Source organism: Homo sapiens, chromosome 20, assembly GCF_000001405.40.
Source record: "Homo sapiens chromosome 20, GRCh38.p14 Primary Assembly".
Classification (NCBI taxonomy): domain Eukaryota; kingdom Metazoa; phylum Chordata; class Mammalia; order Primates; family Hominidae; genus Homo; species Homo sapiens.
Window position 1 is genome coordinate 23,153,602 of NC_000020.11, and position 25,294 is coordinate 23,178,895.

At 45.4% G+C, this 25,294-nt stretch overlaps 1 long non-coding RNA gene and 1 pseudogene across 2 annotated transcripts in view, besides 2 other annotated features; one reads left to right on the plus strand and one right to left on the minus strand.

Annotated features, from left to right (window-relative positions):
• LINC03125 (long intergenic non-protein coding RNA 3125) overlaps positions 1-25,294 on the plus strand; it is a 42,205-nt gene that overhangs the window by 5,499 nt on the left and 11,412 nt on the right. For both annotated transcript variants that reach the window (NR_199692.1, NR_199691.1), the window contains exons 2-3: positions 6,171-6,267; positions 25,109-25,171. This is a non-coding gene — a long non-coding RNA (long intergenic non-protein coding RNA 3125). The remainder of the gene's footprint in view (positions 1-6,170; positions 6,268-25,108; positions 25,172-25,294) is intronic.
• Positions 6,626-6,725: a silencer, noted in NCBI's record as "silent region_12722". NCBI's record gives its function as "represses an Ori minimal core promoter by ATAC-STARR-seq in GM12878 lymphoblastoid cells {active_cell/tissue: GM12878}" and the evidence as "EXISTENCE:reporter gene assay evidence [ECO:0000049][PMID:35858748]".
• Positions 7,256-7,370, minus strand: RNA5SP478 (RNA, 5S ribosomal pseudogene 478; annotated as a pseudogene).
• Positions 8,251-8,300: an enhancer, noted in NCBI's record as "active region_17631". NCBI's record gives its function as "activates an Ori minimal core promoter by ATAC-STARR-seq in GM12878 lymphoblastoid cells {active_cell/tissue: GM12878}" and the evidence as "EXISTENCE:reporter gene assay evidence [ECO:0000049][PMID:35858748]".

The window sequence follows — 25,294 nt, forward strand, 5'->3', positions numbered from 1 at the left end:
TGCTGACATCAGCTCTGAACTTTCCTTCTTCCACCCAGGTCTGACAGAGGACAGGTGAGCAAATCTCCTCAAAGCAAGTCAGACAGAGCCTGGCACCGCAAGATCAGGGGAGAGGTCTTCAGAAACAGCAGGCTGACATTCTCCCCTTCCCAGAGGAGAAAAAGGCCCTCTAACTGAGAAACAGTTTCACCATCAGTGGACAGCTCTCCCATGCTCAGCCCATGCCCTGAGAGGCCAGAACCCCAGTGCAGGCCACGCACCCACATCCACTCCTCATGTTAGAGGTTGTGTGCGACTGCTAGGGCTGCTGGGTAGACTGTGTGGCTTCAACTACAGGCCTTGATTTCCTCACAATTCTGGAGGCCAGAAGTCTGAGATCCAGGTGCCAGCAGGGTGGGTTTCTTCTGAGGCCTCCCTCCTCAGCTTGCCAACGTCCATCTTCTCTCTGTGTCCTCACAGGGCCCTTCCTGTGTGTCTGGATCCTAATCTCCTCTTATTGTTAAAGATACCACTGAGATTGGATTAAGACCCAGCCCAATGACCTCATTTTACCTTAGTCACCACTCTAAAGGCCCTATCTACAATACAGTCCCATTCTGAGGTACCAGGAGTCAAGGCTTCAACACAGGAATTTTAGGGGAGACAGAATTTAGTCTCTAACAGAGGTCATCTCATTTAAACCCTTGGACTTGAAAGTGTACTCCTCATCTGAACTGCTGCAGGTAAGGATGGGAATTAAGAGACCCAAGGAGGAGTGACTGTTGTATCAGGACAAGCTTGCTGAATTGAAATGAAAAACAGAAATCTGTCCATTGTGCCAGTCCCATTCCCTCTGGACTCAGCTCTAACAAGGTTTGGAAGGCCAAACTCCCAGATGCTGAAAGACAATGAAGTTTAAAAACAAGTCCATTGGTGGCATCCAGATCAGAGTTTCCAATCAGATACCTGGTCCTCTACGATTTTCACACCCAGCAGGGAGGAGAGCAGGCAGCCCTTTCTTTCCACACTCCCTGCCCACTTCACAACAATAGTTGGGAATGTGTTTCTGTGAAAGAAGTTCACAGCCAGCCACAGTGGCTCATGTTTGTAACCTTGCACTTTAGAAGGCGAGGCAGAAGGGTTGCTTGAGCCCAGGAGTTCCAGGTTACAGTGAGCTATGATTGCGCCACTGCACTCCAGCCTGTTTCTGAAAGAGAGAAAGAGAGAAAAGAAAGAAAGAAAGAAAGAAAGAAAGAAAGAAAGAAAGAAAGAAAGAAAGAAAGAAAGAAAGGAGAGAAAAGGAAGAAAGAAAGAAAGAAAGAAAGAAAGAAAGAAAGAAAGAAAGAAAGAAAGAAAGAAAAAGAAAGAAAGCAAAAGAAAGAGAGACAGAGAGAGAGAAAGAAAGAAAGAAGGGAGGGAGGGAGGGAGAAAGGGAGGGAGGGAAGGAGGATGGAAGGAAGGAAGGAAGGAAAGAAAAAGAAAGAAAGAAAAAAAGAGAAAAAGAAGGTGTTAGATAAAGCTAGGTTCTTCTTCAGTTTGTCCAGTTCCCCTGTTCTTTATTCTCTAAATTCGGAGTAACCCGCCACCTCCCCCTGCCCCGGCTTTTGCTGTGCAGTAACCTGTCTAAACATGCCTAGACATGAGAAGCCCCAGTCCACATTCCTTCCCTTATGTGGGAATAGGTTAGCTTTCTAGTCCCCCCTCAGATGACCCTTTCCTCCTCTTCCTGGCTCTTCTATCACGTGCCTACCTTATCTAAGAAAGTTTGAATGTTTAGCCAATCAGGACTAGTTTAGATTGTGTGGTCCAACCCCAGTCAATGGGGGAAAGACACAGAGGTAGAATCTGCGTTAGGAATAAAAACCGCTACTCTCCGTTGTTCTGTGTGCTTTTGCAGTCATGATTGATGCAGGCAGCACCCTTCTGCAGAAGTAAATTTTGCCCTGCAGCACAAAAGAGGAAGGAAAGCAAGGGAAGGGAAGGGGAGGGGAGGAAGGGAAGGAAAAGAGAGAGAAAGAGAAAGAGAGAAAGAGAGGAAGGAAGGAAGGAAGGAGAGAGAGAAAGAAAGAAGGAAAGAGGAAGGAAGGAAGAAAGAAAAGAAAGAAAGAAAAAAGAAAGAAAGGAAGGAGAGAAAGAAATGAAAGAGAAAGAAAGAAAGAAAGAAAGAAAGGAGAGAAAAAGGAAAAACAAAGAAAGAGAAAAGAAGGAGAGAAGGAAAGGAAAAAGAAAGAAAGAAGGAAAGAAAGAAAAAAGAAGGAAAGAAAGAAGAAAGAAAGAAAGAAAGAAAGAAAGAAAGAAAGAAAGAAAGAAAGAAAGAAAGAAAGAAAGAAAGAAAAAGAAAGAGAAAGGAAGGAAGGAAGGAAGGTCTTAACACCTTGGTAATTTTTGTGCTCTTCCCTGGACTTTGGACTTTGCAGCCTTAGGGAGACAGAGCTCTTTAATGTACACTTTCCCATCAGGCACTGCATGGCCAAGAACCTGCCTGCAAAGCCCCCACTGAAGGGAGGGTTTCTCCAAGGAGCTCTCCCCTTTAAAGGCCCAGGATTGCTCCTGAGAGTGTCTACTCTGCCATCAATACCATAAAGATTTCATCAGACGGCATGGAGAGTGTTCAGTTGGGCACTCTGGGTTGAGGGGTGAGGGTCACAGTAGGGTCATCTGGATCATTTCCCTGTCCCCCGGCCCCAGCTTGCTCCCTGATTGCATGTCATTTGACTCAGGCTGAGCCTTGCAGAAGTCATAGCGGGGTGGAGATGACTCACACTATGTGGTTTTCCAACTGTTGGGAGCAGCCAGGCAGGGTCCTTTTGTCATGAGCAAGGCCATCGCCAAATACACATTGGCCAGGGTTCGATGAAAATGTGAAAGTCTCAGCCCCATCACTGGACTATGACAGAAGCCTGACCAAGTATCCTTATCGAAATGAAAACCTTTCATAGAGGTGGTTCTCCACCTGTCAGGAGTCACTGATCCTAACAGGGGCATGAGAGCTGAAAGGAAACTTTCACAGTCATTTAATATGACATCTTTGTTTTTCCCTTTCTTAGCATTTGTCCCGGGTCACCTGGCTGGGGGTCAGGGGGTACATAGGCCAGGATCCCAGCTATGACTTTAGGAATGCCTGAAGCTGGGGGGTGCTCGGGCAGCAGGGAGGTGCTGAGGGTGACATGAGGGTGTACAGCATGGCAGGGCAGCAGAATCATCCCAGAAAGAGAGGATAGCCAAAGACATCGAGGCACAGGCGAGGTTGAGGAGCTTCGACAGTGGCCCTGAAAGGTGTATGGAGACCACGTTTCAGGACTTTGGCCACAGTGGAATCCCCCGACTGTTTTTGGGGACTGTGGTCAGGGTGACCCGGCTGTGGCACATAGTGCCCAAAAACAGTTTCTCCACATCCCTGCAGGGCCTATCAGCCAAAATTTTAGCAGGCCTCAAGCCCAGAAATCACTGGAATTCAAGGCTCTTAAAAATAATACTTGGCTAGGATACATGACCACATGACATTATTTCTAGTTAAATCAAAAGCTATTGAGGACCATGTCTATTTTCATTTCATTTATACAGGGGAGGACACCTCCCAGCATCTGGGACAGAGGGAAGTACACGTCTTTACAACCTTGGATAAAAGTCATGTAACTCATGGCGCTTCACCTTTTCCCATGGCTGCCAGGGGGCTCAGATAGGAACTACATGCTTGAGTCAGCAACCTTCATTAAAGTAGAGTTTATCTTATGACTTTGTCTTTCTTCTCCTTCAGGGCATGTTATGTACTTTTAATCTTTATCTTTATGTATCCTACTTTTTCTACTTATTTTATTATAATTTGTCTTGAGTCTTTTTAGAAAACAGGAGAATATAAATTGCACTGGAAGAATGTTTTAATCCTCTCTTTAAAAACTGTTTCATATACATTATTTAATCTTCCCCAAAGCCCTGTGAACTCCCCTAGTGCCTTTTTTTTTTTTTTTTTTTTTTTTTATGATCGAGTCTGGCTCTGTCCCCCAGGCTGGAGTCCAGCGGCACGATCTTGGCTCACTGCAAGCTCTGCCTCCCAGGTTCACGCCATTCTCCTGCCTCAGCCTCCCAAGTAGCTGGGACTACAGGCGCCCACCACCACGCCCGGCCAATTTTTTTTGTAGTTTTAGTAGAGACGGGGTTTCACCGTGTTAGCCAGATGGTCTCGATCTCCTGACCTCATGATCTGCCCGCCTCCGCCTCCCAAAGTGCTGGGATTACACGCGTGAGCCACCGCGCCCGGCCTCCTAGTGTCTTCTGAGTCTTCCAAGGGTTGGGCAATTTTCCCTCCGGTCATGGAGCTGAGCCGATTTCACTGTGCTCTGATTCTCTAAATACTGCTACTCACGTAGGGCAATTCTGTTCAACACGGTGAGCTGGGCCGGCTGTGACTCACAGCACCGAGCCCCTCCAGGGGTGGGGAGCTGATCTTTCTCTCCAATATGCATCCAGATGAGGCAGCAGGTCTCTGAAGGGCAACTCAGTTCATCTCAAACATGATGCCCAGAGAAATGTTATTTTTGCTCCCAGTTCCACTCTGTGATTAGCAGCTCACATCTTCCCATTCTCAGGCAGCCCTGGGTGCAGGCTGTAGGTGCCAGGAGGACAAGGGACCCCTCTTCTTTTTATCTCCATAAACCCATGGCTGAAACAAGTGCTTGGTACTCAGTAGATAATCCATAAATATTTACTAAGTGAGTGTTAATTTGGGCAAGTCATTTCACTTCTCTGAGACTCAGTCTCAAAAATGTGGGGAGATTAACTCCCAGCTTCCTCCTAGTATCGTCAAGCAGATTAAATGAGATTCAGAGAAAGCAAAGTGGTTTGCATTGTGTGTCTTTCATTATTCATAGTCAAAAAATCACAGCTGATGCCCAGAAAAGCACCTTCTACCCTGCTGACTTGCACCTCCACTGATCCGGGAGCATCTTCTCTTTTAAGAATATGCTAAAATATTTGCTCTGGGGGAAAGGCACTTGTGCTGATCCAAAGAGATTCAGGAAGGAGGAGTCCTTTATGGCCTCATCTTGCCCTTAGAAACTTCTTCCAGCCCATTTCTCCATGCTGAGGAGGAAAGCTCAGGTCAAGAGAGCAGTAGAGAAAAGATCAAGTGCTCCTATGGGCCTTTTGAATACCTCTAACCCAGCCGTGCAGGGATTCACCTTGCTTCCATGCATCACGACGAGGGAGGGTCCATCTCCATCCCCTCCTCAATGGAGGACATCAAGCCACTGGACCAGAGCCCTTCTCTGATCGCTACCCCCAGCTGTGTTTCATGGGATAAGAAATCAGGTATTGTAATCCTCTAAAAGACACAGAAGCAATTTTAGAAAACATACATTGAGCTGGTGCTGACATTTTGGGATAAGTACATAAACATGGCATCCAAGAATTTAAGACAAGCACATTGCATGGGTGTCCAACATTTGCCATTGGCCATATTTGTGTTTTAAAGAAGAATTGTAACCTAAAAATAGGAATCACACTTTATTCATTATATTTTTCACAGAGCTTTATTTTTGTATTGAAGGCTGGAAGCTATTAAGCTGCTGTCTCCTTACAACTGACCAAAGCCTGTGTGTGCACGTGATTTTTATTCTGGTACTTTGCCCTGGGACATCATTTCTGCCCCTTGCCACCGGTGCAAGCTGGACTTGAAGACAAGGGTCCCAGCACCTGGTGGAACCGCCCAACAAGCACCAGAGTCAGTCACTGGTTCCTTGTACCCCATTTTCAAGCACCCAAAGTGGTTCTTCCCCTCATGTATCGTTAGATCTACAGCTAAGCCAAATAGTGAAGGTGAAGACAAAGGAAAGGGCTCAAGATAACATTTCCCTTCCCTGAGTTGAAGTCATTAGTGACCCAGAAAACAGGAAGGGGGTGAGGCCTCATTTAGGGAGAGGAAAAGCAGAGGAAGTGGCACCCGGGGGTGTGGAGCAGGATGGAGCACACTTGAAGTGCTCCTTAGAAGGAGGCTGGTGGAGCCAGCCTGGGGGTGGGGTGGGTGGGGAAGCTTGGCTGGGGACACAGAAGGGCAGAACCACTCCCAGGATTGTTTTCCAAGGACAATTTACAGTACCCATTGTTGGCTTTTCCTCTGGGTAATTAGACACAACATGGGAGCAAGGGATCCTCATTCATCTTGTCACTGGGTTTTAATTTTCTTGGTCCTTCAGCTCCCAGCTGCCCTGGCAGATGTTCTGTCCACAAGTTCCAGGAAGTTCAGCAATGCTTCTTCTGCACTACTTTCACCCAGAGCTGACATGGTCTCTGGTAAGCAGCTTTAATTTGATATGGCTGGATGTACTTTGGGGCTGGCTGCAGCAGATGAGAAAAGCAACTCTTTTTATGATTTCTATAGCAGGGTTCATTGTGAAATTTAAAGCAGAGAGGAGACTTATTTCTTTACCCTGGGTGTGACACCCTTTGAAGCTAGCTGAAGTAAAATGCTTTGCCAAGGAGGAGGGAATGAAGGAGTCAGCATACAGAATGAAACTGGACCTTAATCCATCAGTGAGATAGACACGGCTGCTTAACAGATGAACGAATACATTTCCATGGTGCAATGAATCATTTCAGTTGTCCCCTTAAGAGTACATTTCTGAGATGTATTTCTATAGTGTGTGTGCGTGCACCTGTGTGTGTGTAACCGAAATATAAATTGGGCTTCATGTGGTCCAGGCTATACACAGAGTCACTGTCAAAGCAGCACCAGGCTAAAACAAAAGGCATCTATGGTTAGTTTCAGTTTTCACTCAGGTGTCTGGAAGAATGCTAAAAGGGATTCAATTTAAAAACCAGAGCAACACTTCTTAAAATTATGTTTTATTTATTTTCTTATTCTTCCAAAACTCGGTAGCCTTTCACTTGAAATGGCAAACATTCACATCACTTCCAGCTTTTGAGTCTTTCCTATTTTCATCTTCTGTCTGTGCTCTATCAGCATTTTACATGGACTGTAAAGTTTTCTCCCTATTTACCCATTACCTGAATTCTTCAAAACAAAAGAGGGCTCAGAAGCTGATCCAAGAAGCAGGAATCTCCTTCCCTTCCTGTCTCCGCCCACCCTGCCTGTCTTCGTCCTCTCAACAGTTTCTGCACCCCAGACTTGGCTGGCTAACACCCAGCTCTCCTTAGGAGCAAGCAAGGGAGAGGCTGAGACTCATTCAGAGGTTTCCAGTCCTCTGAATGGGTCCTTAGGCAATGGTCAGGAAATGAAGAGCAGGGGTTTAGAGCAGGGAGAAACTGGAATTTTTTTTTAAGCCTATAGCACCTGATAGTCTCAGTCTCCCATCAAGGTACTAACCAGGCCAGACCCTGCTGAGCTTCTGAGATCTGCTGAGATGGGGCATGTTCAGGGTGGTATGGCTCTTGGCAGAAATATTATTTTCTGTGTTGCTAAATCATGTTGCTGCCCTAGCTTCCAGACCCAGCTCTGCAGACTTCTGAAAAGAAAAGCCCATATGGACGGGTGCCACCCAAGGGCATCTCCGCTGACAGCCCAACTCCCCCCCAGCCCCCAACACATACACAGGGCAATGTCTCCTTGTCGGGTGTGAGTGTCACCCTCTGGAGTTCTCTGAGACTCTCCCACACTGAGCAGCCTGGAGTCCAGCCCTGGGTTTCCTCACAGGCCTCAGGGTCGGTGGTGGAACACACCAGGGTCCTTGCTTGTGGAAACTCTCAGAGGAGGCTGTGCCACCAAGTAAGCGTCCGTGGGGTTTCGGATCGCCTCTGGGCCACTCCTGCCTCTAGGAACCTCGGCTGGCACCTCGAGGTGTGGGCAGAGGGAGAGGCTGAGGCAAGACAAGGCAGCAAGGTGAGCCCAGGAGGCCGCAGGAGCCAGCCCCAGCTCCCCCAGGAGGCCTGGCTTAGGCATGCTGAGGCTCCATCCCCCTAGCCTGCTTTTCACAAGTCAGGACTGACATTCTGTGCAGACCCAGGGATCCTGACAGAGCTGAGTAAAGTATGAGTGTGCAATCTGAAAGTTCTTGAGCCACACTAGCATGCGAGCACAGGAAACTGCTGTGCGAGTGCAGGGCCCTGGAGCAGATCCTCCACTGTGGAGGGGCGCAGCGGCTGTGGCCCCGGGCTGAAACGATGGCTCCCCAGCCTTCCTAGCTGTTGGGGGTGGGGTGCAGCGGCTGTGGCCCCGGGCTGAGACGATGGCTCCCCAGCCTTCCTGGCTGCTTCCCCATTTCCTCCCACACAGGCTCACCGCTGTAGTCCTGGACACACTGTTGGGCTGGTGCATAGCAGGAACCCAATACATGAGTTGAGTGACTGGATAAACCCGGAGGCACTGACACCCTCCAACGGGGAACCCCTTCCTCAGTTCACCTCGCATTTGCAGAAAGCAGAGTAACATATATGACATTACTAGAAAATAGCAGGGGAAATGTAAAAATTGGGTTCAAAGTAGCCTCCTGGAGTTGAAATGGCTGCAGCTGTGTGGAATGGAACAGCAAAGGCAGCTCCACAGCAGAAAAGGGTCTCAACTTAGGCCCTGGGAGATGGACACAATTTCCCACCAGGGAGAAGAGAGGCCAGACGCCTCTAGCCACAGGGATAGTTGGCACACAGAGGTGTTAACTTTGGGATGAGTGTGGTTGAAGCCAGGGAAGGCCAAGCCCTGGCATCTCACATTCAAAGGAGCAGGTTCTCCTTGGAGCAGCCCCCAATCCCCCAGAGGAGGAGGGACCCCCAGGTATTCTCCCTCATAGCACCTTTTTTCTCATTGTGCTCATTACATTTGTGATATAATTTAGAGTAAGTCATGCAATGACGTATTAAATATCTGTCTCCCCACCAGACAGCACACTGCATGAGGGCTGGGCCTTAACACTTGGGTTCACTGAGTACCTGGCACTGTGCCCAGTGTGTTGTAAGGTACTCAGTGACTGCGTCAACACGGAAATGAGAACGCCGGGGCAGCTGCTCCCCCACCCCTACGCTCGCTGCAGACATGTGCTCCGTAGAGAGGGCTCCTCTCGAGGCCTAAGAGCGCTCCTGGCTTCCAGGATGCATGGATAGATGTGTCATCCAGATGGACCCTGGTTGGCACTGGACAGAGGGGCCTGGGGCTGCGCCAGGACTGATGGTAGAAGCACAGCAGAGGGTTGGTCTGGGCACCCAGTTCAGAGGGTCCTGCTTGGGGGCACGCCCTCTCCTGGAGGAAGCCAATGCTATAAAATTCCGTTAGGGACACCCCAGCTTCTGCTTCCCTGGGTTGGAGGGGCTCCCACCAGGCCCCTCCTTCCCTTTGGCTCCCTATACCCCAAAAAGGGAAGATTCTAGCAGCAAGGTCCCATTCTGACTCCAAGATGTAAGTCCCGTGCCTTCTGCTGGCCAGGTCCCGCACATCCTGGAACTGGGCCGCAGGGATCTGAAGCACTCTGCAGGGTCTCTCCCCAAGACCTGACTGGCCAACCTCCTCTCTCCTCATCTCTCCCAATGAGGAAGGAGCTGTCTGAGGAGAGCAGGAGGCAGGCCCAGCCAGCCTTGGGCAGGTGTCCTCCTACACCGGGGACAGAGAGGGACGGTGCACACAGATAGCAAGCAGCCTGCACAGGCCAGCACTCAGTGGCTGCACTTGCCAAGTGGAGCTTGCTTCATCTGCAGCCCAGGCCTGTGAGCTACAAACAGCATCTGGATGAACATGTTGGGCTTTCACCTTTGGAACTGTGGTGAGGGCAGTATCCTCCTTGGAAAAGGGTTACAGCCCCTGCTGACCCCGTGGTTGACAGCTGTGAAGGAGGCAACAGTGACACTTCCTACAATCCCAGGCCAGCAGCCCCAGGGAGGGAACATAAAGAGACCCCTGGGAGCTAAAGCTACGACTGCTAAACAGAGCCCTGTGGGCATCAGGACGGGTTCAAAATGAGATATCTGGAAACTGGAGGACCTGCAGGGGTGGTCAGGGTGGGAGCATCTCGGGAGCATCTTCCCACCAGAGCAGGTACAAAAATCTATTTATTCATTCAACACATAGTGGCCACATGGTCAGATATTGCCATCTACCTTTGGGAAGACAGATGTGAGGATGAGATGGGACGGTCACAGAGGGCCAGCAGAGCAGAGTACAAAACCAAAGAGGAAACCCCTTCTGCAGCCTGGGGGAGAGCATCTGGCCCTGGACAAGGATGGAGGCAGAATGGTGGGCCAGAGAGGCACATGAAAGGTGATGTGCGTGGGACCGCTGGATGAATGGATGTCCTGAAAATTGCACCTTGATGGCAATTTTAGTTCTTCTCTGCAAAGCCATGTGCCTCAGCCTTGTCCACATGCCAGAATCACCCGGCAAGCTTTGCAAAATGTTGATGTGCAAACCCCAAGCACAAAGATTCTGGTGTCTCGGGCCCGGGGTGCAGCCTGGGCATCTTCATTTAATGCAAGTGATTCATTAATGTGTGACAGTGCTGGAGATCCCTGGCTTGGAGAATCCTAAAATTTTCTCTAGCTTTAGTTCAGTTGCACCTGTAGGTAGAGCAGTTGCAGCTGATGACAGGCAGGCTGTGGGAGCAGGAGCTCAGTTAGGTTTCTGGGCCTCTGAGGGCCGCAGGGTCCACCTACCCACCCGTAGATTCTGCAGTATTTATAACTTTTTTGGTTCTGCCTCCAGCTTTCTGGGGCTGTCTGGTGGCAGAACAGTAAGAAGGGAGGGAAAGGAAACGTAAACCGGTTGATTCCAAAGTCCGTCCTGGAGACACAGTGCAGCCATAGGCAGGCTGGGCTCGCAGGCTGTGCTGAGCTGCAGCTGGCTGGGACTGCACAGTGAGCTGCCGGACATGCAACAAAGCGGCTGGGGGCCTCGAATGGGCACTTCGCCTTCCAGAAGTGTGTCCCTTGCCAGGGTTATTCACGCTCCCGCAGGGCTGAGAGCTGGCCAGCCTCCTCCTCTCCCAGATGGAGCTCAGGGCTGTGTGGCGGCCGTGGGGGACCTGGGACACTGGCTGCTCCAAGGGTTTTCTGCCGGTTATATCCATTTGGGATGTGTCCAGGGAAAAGGCCTCTATCAGCTGCGAGAAAAAGAACACACATTCCCGAAATATCCGATAAACAAAGATGATTCCTTTATCCACCCCACTGGCCAAAATGAGCACCTGTGGCCTTGTCTTTCACTCAGGAAGTGCGGCCACCCTAGCCGCTCTCCCTCCTCCCACACTCCCTGCCATGTGGCCCTGTCCCCTCCTCGTCCCACTCCATTTTCCACTTCTGTGTCCAGGCCTTTCCTTCTCTCTGCACCTTTCCTCAGTGTAATTTTCAGCCTCAAAAAGCATTTTTTTAAAGAGGCATTCCTCTCATTGCCCAGGCTGGAGTGCAATGGCACAATCTCAGCTCACTGCAGGCTCTGCCTCCCAGTTCAAGCGATTCTCCTGCCTCAGTGAGCCTCTGGAGTAGCTGAGATTATAGGCACACGCCACCACGCCCAGCTAATTTTTGTATTTTTAGTAGAGATGGGGTTTTACCATGTTGGTCAGGCTGGTCTCAAACTCCTGACCTCAGGTGATCCACCCATCTTGGCTTCCCAAAGTGCTGGGATTACAGGCTTGAGCCACTGCGCCCAGCCAAAAAGCTTTTTAAAATTACTTTTAACTGCCTTTATAGCCCTCTGAGTCTTTGAGGGGAAAGAACTGTGAGGTTTCTCATCAGATCAAATTGTGGGGTGGCCTTTCCCAGAGAGGAGAAATCATCTCCTGGGGGAGGCTGGGCTGATCCCACGTTGGGAGCGGGGCTGCGGGTCCCACTCTTGGGCAGAGGCCAGCAGAGCATGCGCTCTAGTGGGGAATTCGAATAATGCGCGAGCCTCAGCAAGGAAGGAGCTTAGCTCCAGTGCAGGAGCACATAGGGAAGGTCTCAGCATCTCGGGGTAGGCGGGTGGTTGAGGCAGGGCAAAAAAGAGAGTCACCTCTGTGCTGGGAACTGTCCTTACCATGTGACCAGCTGCAAAGACTTCAAGCACGGCCCTGTGGGTGAGGAGGGCAGGGAGTCCAAAGATCCTTAGAGACTGGAGAAGCTGAGTGTGCAAACAAAAGAGAGAAGGTGGGTGTGGCCAAGAGGGGCAATGCCAGGAGTGCCATGGGAGATGCCTGCAGAGAGCTGCCCAGGGGCCACATCACAGCACCCCTCGCAGGTGCTGCTGACGCACCAGTGTGGTGACAAGCCACGTCCAAGCAAGCGATGAAAGGACTGAGTTGTTTTGCAAAAAGTTCTTGCCATCTCCTCCACGGAGAGTGGATAGGAAAGGGGACACAAACCCATCCATTTACTTATTCTTCCTTTAACAAAATCCATCCATTTACTGATTTCTTCCCTTAACAAAATGTTATTGACAGTCAACCCAGTTTAGTGATCAACAGGAATTTGTGAAGATCGGGACCATATCCCAGTGAATACGGTGCTCACCATCAGTGGGTGGAGGGGACTCCCATGTGAGCCCGCAAACAATACCCCATGCACGCATGTCCTTCTATAGGGTTGAGCTGAAAGCTCTGGAAGCACAGCAAAGTCACCAGGAGCTTCATTCTGGGAAATCAGAGTAGGCCTCATAAGGATCTGCCCTGGAGCCAGGTCCACTCAGCTGAGAGCCTGCATTTTTGTTGACAGACTGAGTGTGCATCAGTGCAGGCGCCGGCTGCAGCCCAAGGGGCTCGGGGGGCCCCAGAGCACACAGGGTGTGGATATGATGTAGGCATCAAAGACAGGTGAGGTTGGTAAGGAATCTTGGGACAGATAAAGAAAGTCTTAGCATCAAACAAAGGGTCCCCTCTTTTTCCTAGAAGTAGCAAGAAAACCCTTGAGGTGTTTGATCCAGGGCATAGCACAGTGAGACATGCTTTAGAAAATTAATGCAGGGCTTGCTTTGGTTTAGGTTCACTCAAATCCAAGTCATTGACTCCCACCTATTTAGAAGGTTCAGGGATCTCCAGGAGGGAAGTGGGGATAATGGTGCCATGGAATGGAGCTCTGTCAAGCCAGCATTACTAGGTGGGCAACGGAGCTTAATGCTTGCATAGAGGCTCTAGGAGACTGGGCAAACCCCGGGCCTCAGAGGCATCCTGGGCAGGGCAAGGGAGCTGGTGTGCTCTGAGCAGCTGGCTCGGGCCTTGGCCAGGAGCTCCTCCCGGGATGCTTGTTTCCTGCACTTCCAGGCACCTGCAGTGTGGGTGGCACAGCCCCAGTGGCTCTGGGAAGAGCCTTTAGGAACCAGAATGACTACACCAGCAGGTCCTGGGAAGTTGGGCAGAGCCCTGGGAGGATGGGCGGGACACGGCCAGGTCTGCCACAGAGAGAAAAGGGCCAAGGAGGGAAGGTGGGCAGGTGGCATCGTGCAGAAAGGTAAGATCTGTGTGTGAGAGCACTCTTGTGAGATTTCCACAACCATTTATTCTACCTGGCTTTAATTTTTAGAAACTTAAATGTTAGAAAACACTAATTGATGGCCGGGCACGGTGACTCGTGCCTGTAATCCCAGCACTTTGGGAGGCTGAGGCGAGTGGATCACTTGAGGTCAGGAGTTCAACACCAGCCTGGCCAATATGGTGAAACCCTGTATCAACTAAAATTACAAAAATTAGCCGGGCATGGTGATGGGCGCCTGTAATCCCAGATACTTGGGAGGCTGAGGCAGGAGAATCGCTTGAACCAGAAGGCGGGGGTTGCAGTAAGCCAAGATCGTACCACTGTACTCCAGCCTGGGTGACAAAGCAAGACTCTGTCTCAAAAACAAACAAAAAAACAAACAAACAAAAAACACTAATTGAGAGGTATAAGCAGAAAACATCTGGCATGACTAGCTATCACAGCCTTTCCCCACCAAAGACAAAACAAAGCAGATCTTGGCATCAGTGTGTGAATGTGGCAGCACACAGGAGACAACGAAACTGGGTCATCCCAGGAAAAGCCCTGCAGAAGGTCCCATCTTCAGCCATAGAATTTTTCCCAGGCCTTCCTTGGATGGGCTCAGTTGGGATGTTTTTCTTTTGTCTGGCTTCTTTGGATCAGTTACAGTGTTTTGTGAATAACTACTTCATTCTTTGTTATTGATGAGTAATACTCCATTGTATGGATGCATCACAGTTTATTTATTCACTCAAATGGCCACGGGGGCTGATTTCAGTCTAGGGCCGCTGGCTGAATTAAGCTGCTGCAAGCACATAAGGACAAGTCTTCTTGTAGACATGTTGTCCTTTCTCTTGGGTAAAAACCTCCGAGTGAAATTGCTGGTAAGTTAAAGTTCCACTTTATATATACTAAAATAAAAAGCCACCAATCTATTTACAAATACAAATGGTGGTGGAACTTACCATTGATATTTTTTAAAAACAACAATACTTGAATGATCATTATCAAAAGAATAGAAAATACTAAGAAGTTTCAAAACATAATTTAAATTATCTGAAATAGCTTCAAGTAGCAACAACCTTTTTTTAAATTATACCTTAAGTTCTAGGGTACATGTGCACAATGTGCATGTTTGTTACATATGTATCCATGTGCCATGTTGGTGTGCTGTACCCATTAACTCATCATTTACATTAGGTATATCTCCTAATGCTATCTCTCCCTGCTCCCCCAACCCCACGACAGGCCCCGGTGTGTGATGTTCCCCTTTCTGTGTCCAAGTGTTCTCATTGTTCAATTCCCACCTATGAGTGAGAACATGTGGTGCTTGGTTTTTTGTCCTTGCCATAGTTTGCTGAGAATGATGGTTTCCAGCTTCATCCATGTCCTTACAAATATCATGAACTCATCATTTTTTATGGCTGCATAGTATTCCATGGTGTATATGTGCCACATTTTCTTAATCCAGTCTATCATTGATGGACATTTGGGTTGGTTCCAAGTCTTTGCTATAGTGAATAGTGCTGCAATAAACATATGTGTGCATGTGTCTTTATAGTAGCATGATTTATAATCCTTTGGGTATATACCCAGTAACGGGATGTCTGGGTCAAATGGTATTTCTAGTTCTAGATCCTTGAGGAATCACCACACTGTATTCCACAATGGTTGAACTAGTTTACAGTCCCACCAACAGTGTAAAAGTGTTCCTATTTCTCCACATCCTCTCCAGCACCTGTGGAGAACATATTCTTGTCAATACTTATTTGATTGCAAAGAACAGAAATGATGTTAAGCAAGAAAAAGAAGGGATTTTCTCAGAGGGACACAGAGGTGTCTCTAGGTGACAAGGGCTAGGAGATGCAGCTGAGCTTCATGGTAATGACTGATCCCCACGTGGCCATTCTCATTCTCTCTCATCTCTCACTCTGCCTCTCCCTGGGCTGCTGGGCCTTTTCTCTCCACTGCCCCTATTCTAGTGTCCCTGCTGCAGAACATCTCTTGCTGGTTCATGGCACAGCGTGGCCTCCCTCCCTGAGTTGTCCTAATGCAAAAGCATTTGTGCACAGCACTGGCTGTGTGCCGGGACCCTTTGTTTCTATTCTCAAAAGAAAGAATCTAACTGGCCCAGCTCTGCTCAGCTCTCCATTCCTGGTTTTATCAATGTGGCTCGAACAGGGTCCCTGACACAAACCTGGCCACTAGGGAAGTGAGCAGGAGTAGACATTCCCGGGGAGAGTCGTGAGTAGGAAAACTGGCAAGTGTGGCTAACATGGCGCCTCCACCAAATGCCTTGCTAAAGAATACGCTCTACATCTGCTTTCTGAAAATGTAGTGATATCTTGTGAATACCCTTCCATGACATTGAAAATATGCCTGCACTGCCATTTGGAGGGACCATAGCCTGGTATCCTCTAACGTGATGTGCCAATACTGACTTGACAAATCCTCTACTGCTAAACACTTAGATCACCTTCAATTATTCCCTCTAATAAACTATACCTTGATGAACATTTTTGTACATAAATATTTTATTTTTCTTAGGATAAATTCTCTAGACCATGATAGAACCAATATCCAGTGGCATTATTTAATTTTAGCTTCACAATAACACCTTGATATAGGTATTAGCACCCCTACTTTACAGACATAAAAACTGAAGTAATGTAAAAGTAGACACAGCTCTTACATTTAAACACCTGGGGAGCGAGAGAACTGGCATTCAAACCTGAGTAGGAGTCAGAGAAAGATCCTGGGTCTGAAAATAAGCCATGGATGGGCGAGCTGTGCTGCAGCCAGATGGAGGCCCGACTCAGGCTAAAGGGAAATGGGTGTCAATGCTTGGTGCAGCAGAAAATGAGAAAGATTTGGCCTTCAGATTTATACACAGAGGTTCTTCCTGTCTCTTTCTCCAGTTAGTGATATCTCATGGAGGAGTTTTCTCCACGCTAGGAAATGGCTTCTCAATCCAAAGCACCCTAGAAAGGGACAGCATCTATGGAAGGTGCCTCCCCTGCACTAGCCTTTCTTACTGCTGCATTTTTAACCTTCTGGCTTGCCCTCCTCTGGATCCCCCTGGGGAACAGGTGGCCATATGATTCTTTCCATTTCACAGAAAGGAAAATGGCACTGGAGACATAACCCAGTGGCCTTCCAAGGGACGTGGGTGATGTCATAGGAGGAACAAAAAGAAGGACTTTTTGTGCCTAAAAGTGAAATCAACTTCAGCAGAGAGTGGGATGCCCACCCCCTTTCTGGGTCTTACATTCAATATCACACAAGATGGGTCGGGGCTGGAACCTCCTGGAACCTGACTCTCAGTCATGGGAGAGGGTAAGGCAGGAGCCCTGGGGATCTGGGAACCTGAGAGGGAGTAGGGTCACCCTTGCTGAGGACAGCCACTACTGGAACCAGACAATAACAGAAAAGAAGGGGGAGGGGAAGCCCCATCTTGCCATCATTGCTGAAAAGCAGGGTATAAAGAAAGAGCCCCACTGTGAAGGTAACTCTCCATCACAGATCCTGGGATAGCGAAGGTCACAGAAGAGAAGGGGGCAAAGCTGCCCTAAAACAGCAAAGGCGACCTGGCTCTGGGACCAACAGAAGGAAAAGAGGAGAGGACTCTGTTTCCTCAGGTTATTTCCTAAGCTGGCCAGCCCTGCCAGAAACACCCATCCTCCAGATAGGCCAGGATGCTGGCTGGCATTTTCTGATGAGGCTTTCCAGGTTCTGCAGATAAGTGTCCAAAAAGACTTGGCAAGTGACCCATAAAGATCACAGGGTTTATAAAACAACCAAGCACCGTTCCGCTCTGGCACGTGCCTCTCGCAAATTCATATTCTTTTCTCTACATTCTGGAGTCTGGATGTGTAAGCTTTGACTGGAGATGGGGTTAGGGGAACAGGATGAAATGCTGATGTGGGAAGACAGGGAGAAGTCACAGCTCAAGGGAAGCAATTCCCCTGCAGCCCACACAAAATTCATCTAATATTTACTTAAAATTAGCCACACCCCAGTCCATGCCTGATCTGAGGCCTCATTAGGCCATAAAGACTCACGTCTTATACAACGGGACTTTGAAAGGTTGTTGACAATGTGTATTATGAAAACAGCTATGCTTGGATTTTCAAAATTTTTGCACCGATGAACTTATACGGACTTTTTAAAATATCTTTGAACAGAATCTAGTTTGAGGCGCTAAGAAGGATAAGACATCAGTTTGAAAAGAGCCCTATCAGGACAACAAAAATTCTGCTAAAATTGATTTCCATAGGTTTTTGAGGAACAAGTGGTGTTTGGTTACATGAGTAAGTTCTTTAGTGGTGATTTCTGAAATTTTGATGCATCCATCACCCGAGCAGTGTGCACTGCACCCTATTTGTAGTCTTTTATCCCTTGCCCCCCTCCTTCCCTTCCCCCCAAGTCCCCAAAGTCCATTGTATCATTCTCATGCCTTTGCATCCTCATAGCTTAGCTCTGACGTATTGGTGAGAACATATGATGTCTACTTTTCCATTCCTGAGTTACTTCACTTAGAGTAATAGTCTCCAGTCTCATCCAGGTGGCTGTGAATGCCGTTAATTCTTTCTTTTTTATGACTGAGAAGTGTTCCATCATATATCTATACCATAGTTTCTTTATCCACTCATTGATTGATGGGCATTTGGGTTGGTTCCACGATTTTGCAATTGTGAATTGTGCTGCTATAAACATGCATGTGCAAATGTCTTTTTCATATGATGACTTCCTTTCCTGTGGGTGGATACCCAGTAGTATGATTGCTGGATCAAATAGTAGTTCTACTTTTAGTTCTTTAAGAAATCTCCACACTGTTTTCCACAGTGGCTGTACTAATTTACATTCCCAACAGCAGTGTAGAATGTTCCCTGATCACTGCATCCATGCCAACATCTATGATTTTTTTATTTTTATTTTTTGATTATGGCCATTCTTTCAAGAGTAATGTGGTATCTCATTGTGGTTTTGATTTGCATTTCCCTGATCATTAGTGATGTTGAGCATTTTTTCATATGTTTGTTGGCCATTTGTATATCTTCTTTGGAGAATTGTCTATTCATGTCCTTAGCCCACTTTTTTTATGGGATTTTTGGTTTTTTCCTTGCTGATTTGTTTAAGCTCACTGTAGATTCTGGATATTAGTCCTTTGTCAGATGTATAGATTGTGAAGGTTTTCTCTGACTCTATGGGTTGTCTGTTGACTTTACTGATGGTTCCTGTTGCCGTGCAAAAGCTCTTTAAATTAGGTCCCAGCTATTTATCTTTTTGTTGTTGTTGTTGTTTGTTTGTTTGTTTGTTTTTCCAGACGAAGTCTAGCTCTGTCTCCCAGGCTGGAGTGTAGTGGCACAATCTTGGCTCACTGCAAGTTCCTCCTCCTGGGTTCATGCCATTCTCCTGCCTCAGCCTCCCGAGTAGCTGGGACTACAGGTGCCTGCCACCACACATGGCTAATTTTTTGTATTTTTAGTAGAGACAGGGTTTCACCATGTTAGCCAGGATTATCTTTGTTTTTATTGCATTTGCTTTTGGGTTCTTGGTCATGAAATCCTTGCCTAAGCCAATGTCTAGAAGGGTTTTTCCAATGTTATCTTCTATAATTTTTGTAGCTTCAGGTCTTAGATTTAAGTCCTTAATTAATCTTTAGTTGATTTTTGTATAAAGTGAGAGATGAGGATCTAGTTTTATTCTCTTACGTGTGGCTAGCCAATTACCCTAGCACCATTTGTTGAAAATGGTGTTCTTTCCCCACTTTATGTTTTTGTTTGCTTTGTCCAAGATCATTAAGTATTTGGGTTTATTTCTGGGTTCTCTATTCTGTTCCATTAGTCTATGTGCCTATTTTTATACCAGTATCCCACTGTTTCTGTGACTATGACCTTATAGTATAGTTTGAAATCAGGTAGTGTGATGCCTCCAGATTTATTCTTTTTTCTTAGTCTTGCTTTGTGTATGCAGGCTCTTTTTTTGGTTCCATATGAATTTTAGAATTGTTTTTTCTAATTCTGTGAAGAATGATAGTGGTATTTTGAGGGGTATAGTACTTAATTTGTAAATTACTTTTGGCAGTGTGGTCATTTTCAAAATATTGATTCTACCCATCCATGAGCATGGAATGTGTTTCCATTTGTTTGTGTCATCCTTGATTTTTTTTAGCAGTGTTTTCTAGTTTTCCTTGTAGAGGTCTTTCACCTCCTTGGTTAGGTATATTCCTAAGGTTTTTGTGTTTTTTTTCAGCTATTGTAAAAGGGATTGATTTCTTGATTTGATTCTCTGCTTTGTCACTGTTGGTGTATATAAGATCTACTGATTTGTTTACATTAATCTTGTATCCTAAACTTTGCTGAATTCTTTTTATCAGTTCTAGGGGCTTTCTGGAGGAGTCTTTAGGGTTTTCAAGGTAAACGATCATATCGTCATAAAACAGTGACAGTTTGACTTCTTCTTTACCGATTTGGATGCCCTTTACTTCTTTCTCTTGTCTGATTGCTCTGGTTAGGACTTCCAGTACTATGTTGAAGAGGAGGAGTGAGAGTGGGCATTCTTGTCTGTTCTAGTTTTCAGAGGGAATGCTTTCAACTCTTCCCCTTTCAGTATGATTTTGCCTTTGGGTTTGTCATAGATGGCTTTTATTACATTGAGGTGTGTCCCTCGTATGCCAGTTTTGCTGAGGTTTTAATCATAAAGGGATGCTAGATTTTGTCAAATGTCTTTTCTGCATCTATTGAGATGATCATGTGATTATTGTTTTTAATTCTGTTTATGTGGCGTATCACATTTATTGACTTGCATATGTTAAGCCATATCTGCATCCCTGGTATGAAACTCACTTGACGATTGTGGATTATCTTTTGGATATGTTGTTGGATTTGGTTAGCTAGTATTTTGATAAAGATTTTAGCATCCATGTTCATCAACCCAAAACTAGTTTTCTTTTTTGGTTATGTCTTTTCTTGGTTTTGATATTAGGGTGATGCTGGATTCATAGAATTAATTTGGGGGTTCCCTCTTTATCTTGTGGAATAGTGTCAAAAGGATTGATATCAATTCTTCTTTGAATGTCTGGTAGATTTCTGCTGTAAATCCATCTGGTCCTGAATTTTTATGTGTTGGTAATTTTTTAATTACCATTTCAATCTTGCTGCTTGTAAATGGTCGGATAAGGGTATCTAATTCTTCCTGATTTAAGCTAGGAGGGTTGTATTTTTCCAGGAATTTATACATCTCTTCCAGTTTTTCTAGTTTATGTGTGTAAAGGTGTTCATAGTAGCTTTGAATGATCTTTTGTATTTCTGTGGTATCAGTTGTAATATCTCTCATTTCGTTTCTTATTGAGGTTATTTGAATGTTCTCTCTTCTTGGTTAATCTTGCTGATGGTCTATCAATTTTATTTATCTTTTTAACATTTTTTTATTTGAGAAAAGCATATATTCTCCCCTTGATTTGCCATTAGGGAATAATTTCAGGTCAAGGCAATCTTTTATAACTTGCAATATGATTGGGAGAAATATGTAATTGAGTGGCTAGTGTAATTTTAGTGTTAATCTTAGCTAAATCTTTCCTGCAATTAATTCCTTCATGGCCTCCACAAACCACCTATGACATGCTAAAACTTTCTGGCTTGTCCTGAATATTCTTCTTTTTAAACAATCAACCATTCTTTTTAGGGCAAGTATTTACCATCCATCCTTATAATTTTTTCAAGATTTCCACAAACTATCTACAACATGCTTAAACTTTCTGACTTGTCCTAAACATCTCTTTTAAACAACGAACTATTTTCTTTTAGACAAGTATTTACCACCCAAGATCCTTTCTTATATAAAATCTCTTTCCCTTACAACCTTCTTTTCATAGCCAGGATATGACATATTACCAAACCCAATAAAAAGTCCTTGCGGGCTCAGTGATAGTAAAACTTTCATGCTTCCTTTTTGTTGGTAACTATTATTTCTGCTGTAAGGATAATAATTAAGCAAAATACTATAGCAATGGAAACTCTCTGTCTGATATTCCAGTTAGAAGGTGTTACAGCTTTTGTCTCATTGCAAATAGAGTGAGTATCGCAATTCCTGCAAGTGTGGTGTAGTAGATAATTTTCATCTAAATTGCCAAGATATAACATTTCCCTTTTGGAGGTCTATGAAGTTACAAATGCAATCCCATGGATAATTAAAACCTTCCTGCAAATATGCATCAAAAGTAAGTTTTAATATCTGGCAGTACATCTAGAGGGGAAAAGTAGAAATGACGGAAAGTAAAAGTAGGACTGAGTAGGATGAGCAGCCCTTGCTCATTTATTTATCCTTTATGATTTTCACCTTAAGATCTCCTATTTCTTCACATTGGTATCCAGGACGTTTATCCGGGCTGTCAAAGGTTGCTCTATCAGCTTTCTAGGTTTGACTCGAGTATGATGTGTCCAGAAGTTGATACCTGTAACTTTTATCATGTTTTGATTAATGTTGTACCGTGATATCCCAGATGAGGTCCCCAATATGAAGCAGCTGCATTGTCTGGGGGATATACTCTGGGGTTCATCATTGTCCACCAGGAAAATTTAGGAGATAGACACATACGAGGAGTTTAGGAGCAGAAGTTTAATAGGCAGAAGAGAAGAGAAAGAGGAACAGCTCTCTATATAGAGAGAGAAGGGTCTCTGAGCAGAAAAGACCCAAAACACATCAAATTTATGGTGAAGCTTGAGTGGAAGAATGGTGAAACATTGATGCTTTGTGAAAATTTCATGGGGACAATGACCCAAAGAAATCAGCAGTTTGCAAATGGATAACTCATTTAAGAACAGATGAGACAATGCTGAAAATGAAGCCCATGACAGTAGAGCATCCAACATTAATTTGCGAGAAAAATATTCATCTTGTTCATGTCCTAATTGAAAAGGACCAATGATTAACTGCACAAAAATAGTCAACATATTAGACACCTCAATTAGTTTAGCTTACACAATTCTGACTGAAAAATTAAAGTTGAGTAAATTTTCTACTCGATGGGTGCCAAAACTCTTGCTCCCAGATCAGCGGCAGACAAGAACAGAACTTTTCACGGAAATTTTAATCAAATGGTATCTCCATCCTGAAGCATTTCTTCAAAGGGTTATTACAGGAGATGAAATATGGCTCTACCAGTACAATCTTGAAGATAAATCACAATCAAAGCAAAGGCTACCAAGAGATGGTGAGGATCCAGTCAAAGCAAAAGTGGACCAATGGAGAGCAAAGGTCGTGGCAATAGTTTTTGAGATGCTCAAGGCATTTTGCTTGTTGACTTTCTGGAGGGCCAGAGAATTATAACATCTACTTATTATAAGAGTATTTTGAGAAAATTAGCCAAAGCTTTAGCAGAAAAATGCCTTAAAAAACTTCATGAGAGAGCCTTTGTCCACCACGACAATGCCCCTACTCATTTCTCTCATTAAACAAGGGCAATTTCCACACTTTCAGTGGGAAATCATTAGGCATTCACCTCACAGCCCTGGTTTGGCTCCTTATTACGTCTTTTTCTCTCTAATATTAAAAAATCTTTAAAGGGCACTCATTTTTTTCAGTGAATAATGTTTAAAAAACCTGATTAACGTGGTTAAATTCCCAGGACCCTCAGTTTTTTTAGGGATGGACTGAACAGGTTTTATCACTGGTTTCAAAAGTTTCTTCATCTTGCTTATGTTGAGAAATAAATGTTTATCTTTAATTCCATTTTTTCACAATATCTTCAAAGTCCTCTGTTACTTGGCTTGGGTCCCTGGGGCACAAAATAGACAATGCACAATTTCCTGGAGTGTTGTTGTTATTATTCAAAAATAAAACAAGGGTATCTGTATTAGTTTAGCTAGTTTGTTCAGCAACGAAGTAGCAAAGACTGGGTGGCTTAAATAACAAACATTTATTTTCTCATAGTTCTGGAGGCCAGAAGTACAAGATCAATGTGTCATCAGGGTTGGTTTCTCTTGAGGTTGAGGCCTCTCTCCTTGGCTTGCAGATTACTACCTTATTTCTGTCTTTTCACATGGTCATCTCCTGTGCATGTGCACCCCGGGTGTCTCCTTGTGTGTTCAAATTTTCTCTTCTTACAAGGACACCAGTCAGATTAGATTAGGATCCACCCATATAGCATCATTTTACCTCTTTAAAGGATCTGTTTTCAAATATAATCACATTCTGAAGTGCTGGAGGAATATGAATTTGGAGGAATACAATTCAGCTCACAACAGCATTCAGATTAAAAAACAAAAAGTAAATCATTTCTATTCACAGGTAAAATAATCTGATAAATAGAAAAATACCAAAGAAGCCATTAAAAAACTATTAAAGCTAATAAAAGCATTCAGCAAAGTTGCAGAATACCAAATCAACAAAAAAGTTTTATTTCTACACATTATTAATAAATAACCTGAAATGAAAATTTAGAAACAATGCAATTTACTATAGTATCAAAAAATAGTATGCTTAGTAATAAATTTAACCAAGAGGAGCAACACTTGTACACTGAAAACTAGAAAACTTTACTGAAATAAATTGAAGAATACCTAAACAAATGAAAGACATCCCATGTTCATGGATTGGAAGACTTAATATTGTTGAGATGGCAATACACACAAAGTGATCTATAGATCTATTAATTTGCACACTTTATGTATGTACATTATATGTGAATAACAAGGAAAAGAAGAGAAAGAAAGAAAACAAAAACAAAGCCGTTTTCATCACATTTTGAGAGAAAAGAATCCAAATGGTATCCAATAAGTCCTTAGTTATCTTTCCAACTCCCCTCTCCTCTTCCTTACTATAGCATACTCCCACTTTATAGATTCTGACGACAGAACAAGATGGAATCAGAGATTCAGTATTTGTGTATCTGAAGACTATTATGGTAGTCTTAAAAAAGGCTTGCCCCAAAAATGGACCAGACTTCCCTTTACGCCCACAGGATGCTCCTAGGACCAAAGATAGATGCCAGAAAAGCTTCAACTCAGTGGTAACCAGTGCTCATGCCTGAGAACTGCCCATGGAACCATATGCCATGTGGTGCATCATGCTCCCATCCCTGCCTGGGGCCAAACAGAACCTTAGGTACTTCTGTCTGGACACTGCAAAAGGCACTGTCCAGTTCTACTAATTGGACCAGACCAGAAGCAACTCCTCCTACCTTGACTGGTTGCTGCTGCCTGACCCATCCACCTCTGCTTCCCCAGTGGGATCAGGCACACAGTCATCCTGGAGAATTTCAGCCAGTGGAGCTTCCGTGCAAAATTCTGTGACCCTGGGTGGACAAAGGTGGTGATGCTACCAAAGAACGATGTCTAGGGAGGCCACCAGGGCATCTGCAGAGAAGCAGAGAGCTTCCAATTCCTAATAGACATGACTCAAACCTTAAGAGATGTCGAGATATCAGGGGAGGTGTGCAGAGGACCCTGTAACTGATGCATCCCTCAAACCCCCTTCAGGAATGAAGAGCATAGCCCCAGCTCCAGAGCCCTCAGCTGCATGGTCAGTTCCTCCATGATTGCCTGGCCTGGAGAGAGCCCCCATCCAAAGTTACGCCTTCTTCTGGGGATGGCATCCACAGACTGCTCAATGTGGCCCATGAGGGTCTGGGCCCCTTGTCCCTCCAAGACAACTCTGAAGGGTTGTCTCAGCCTTCAAAGTCCCCATAGAATGGGAAGGGGTCTCAGCAGAGTCAGCATCACAGCCTGCCACTCCCTCTACATTGCTCTGTGTCTTTCTCGTCCCTTCCTAGCAGTGATCCCAGGAGCACCCTTAATGATGCTGAAGAAGAAAGAGTTAAAAGATGAGACAAAAAGTGAGTGTCCTTTCAGCTCCCCAAGCTGTAAGCAGCTCTTTCCTTAGCAACCTAACATATCGGTTCACAGTTTCTGTGTTTATTTTTTCTCCCAGCCAGAGCAAATCTAGACTGCTTGCTTTG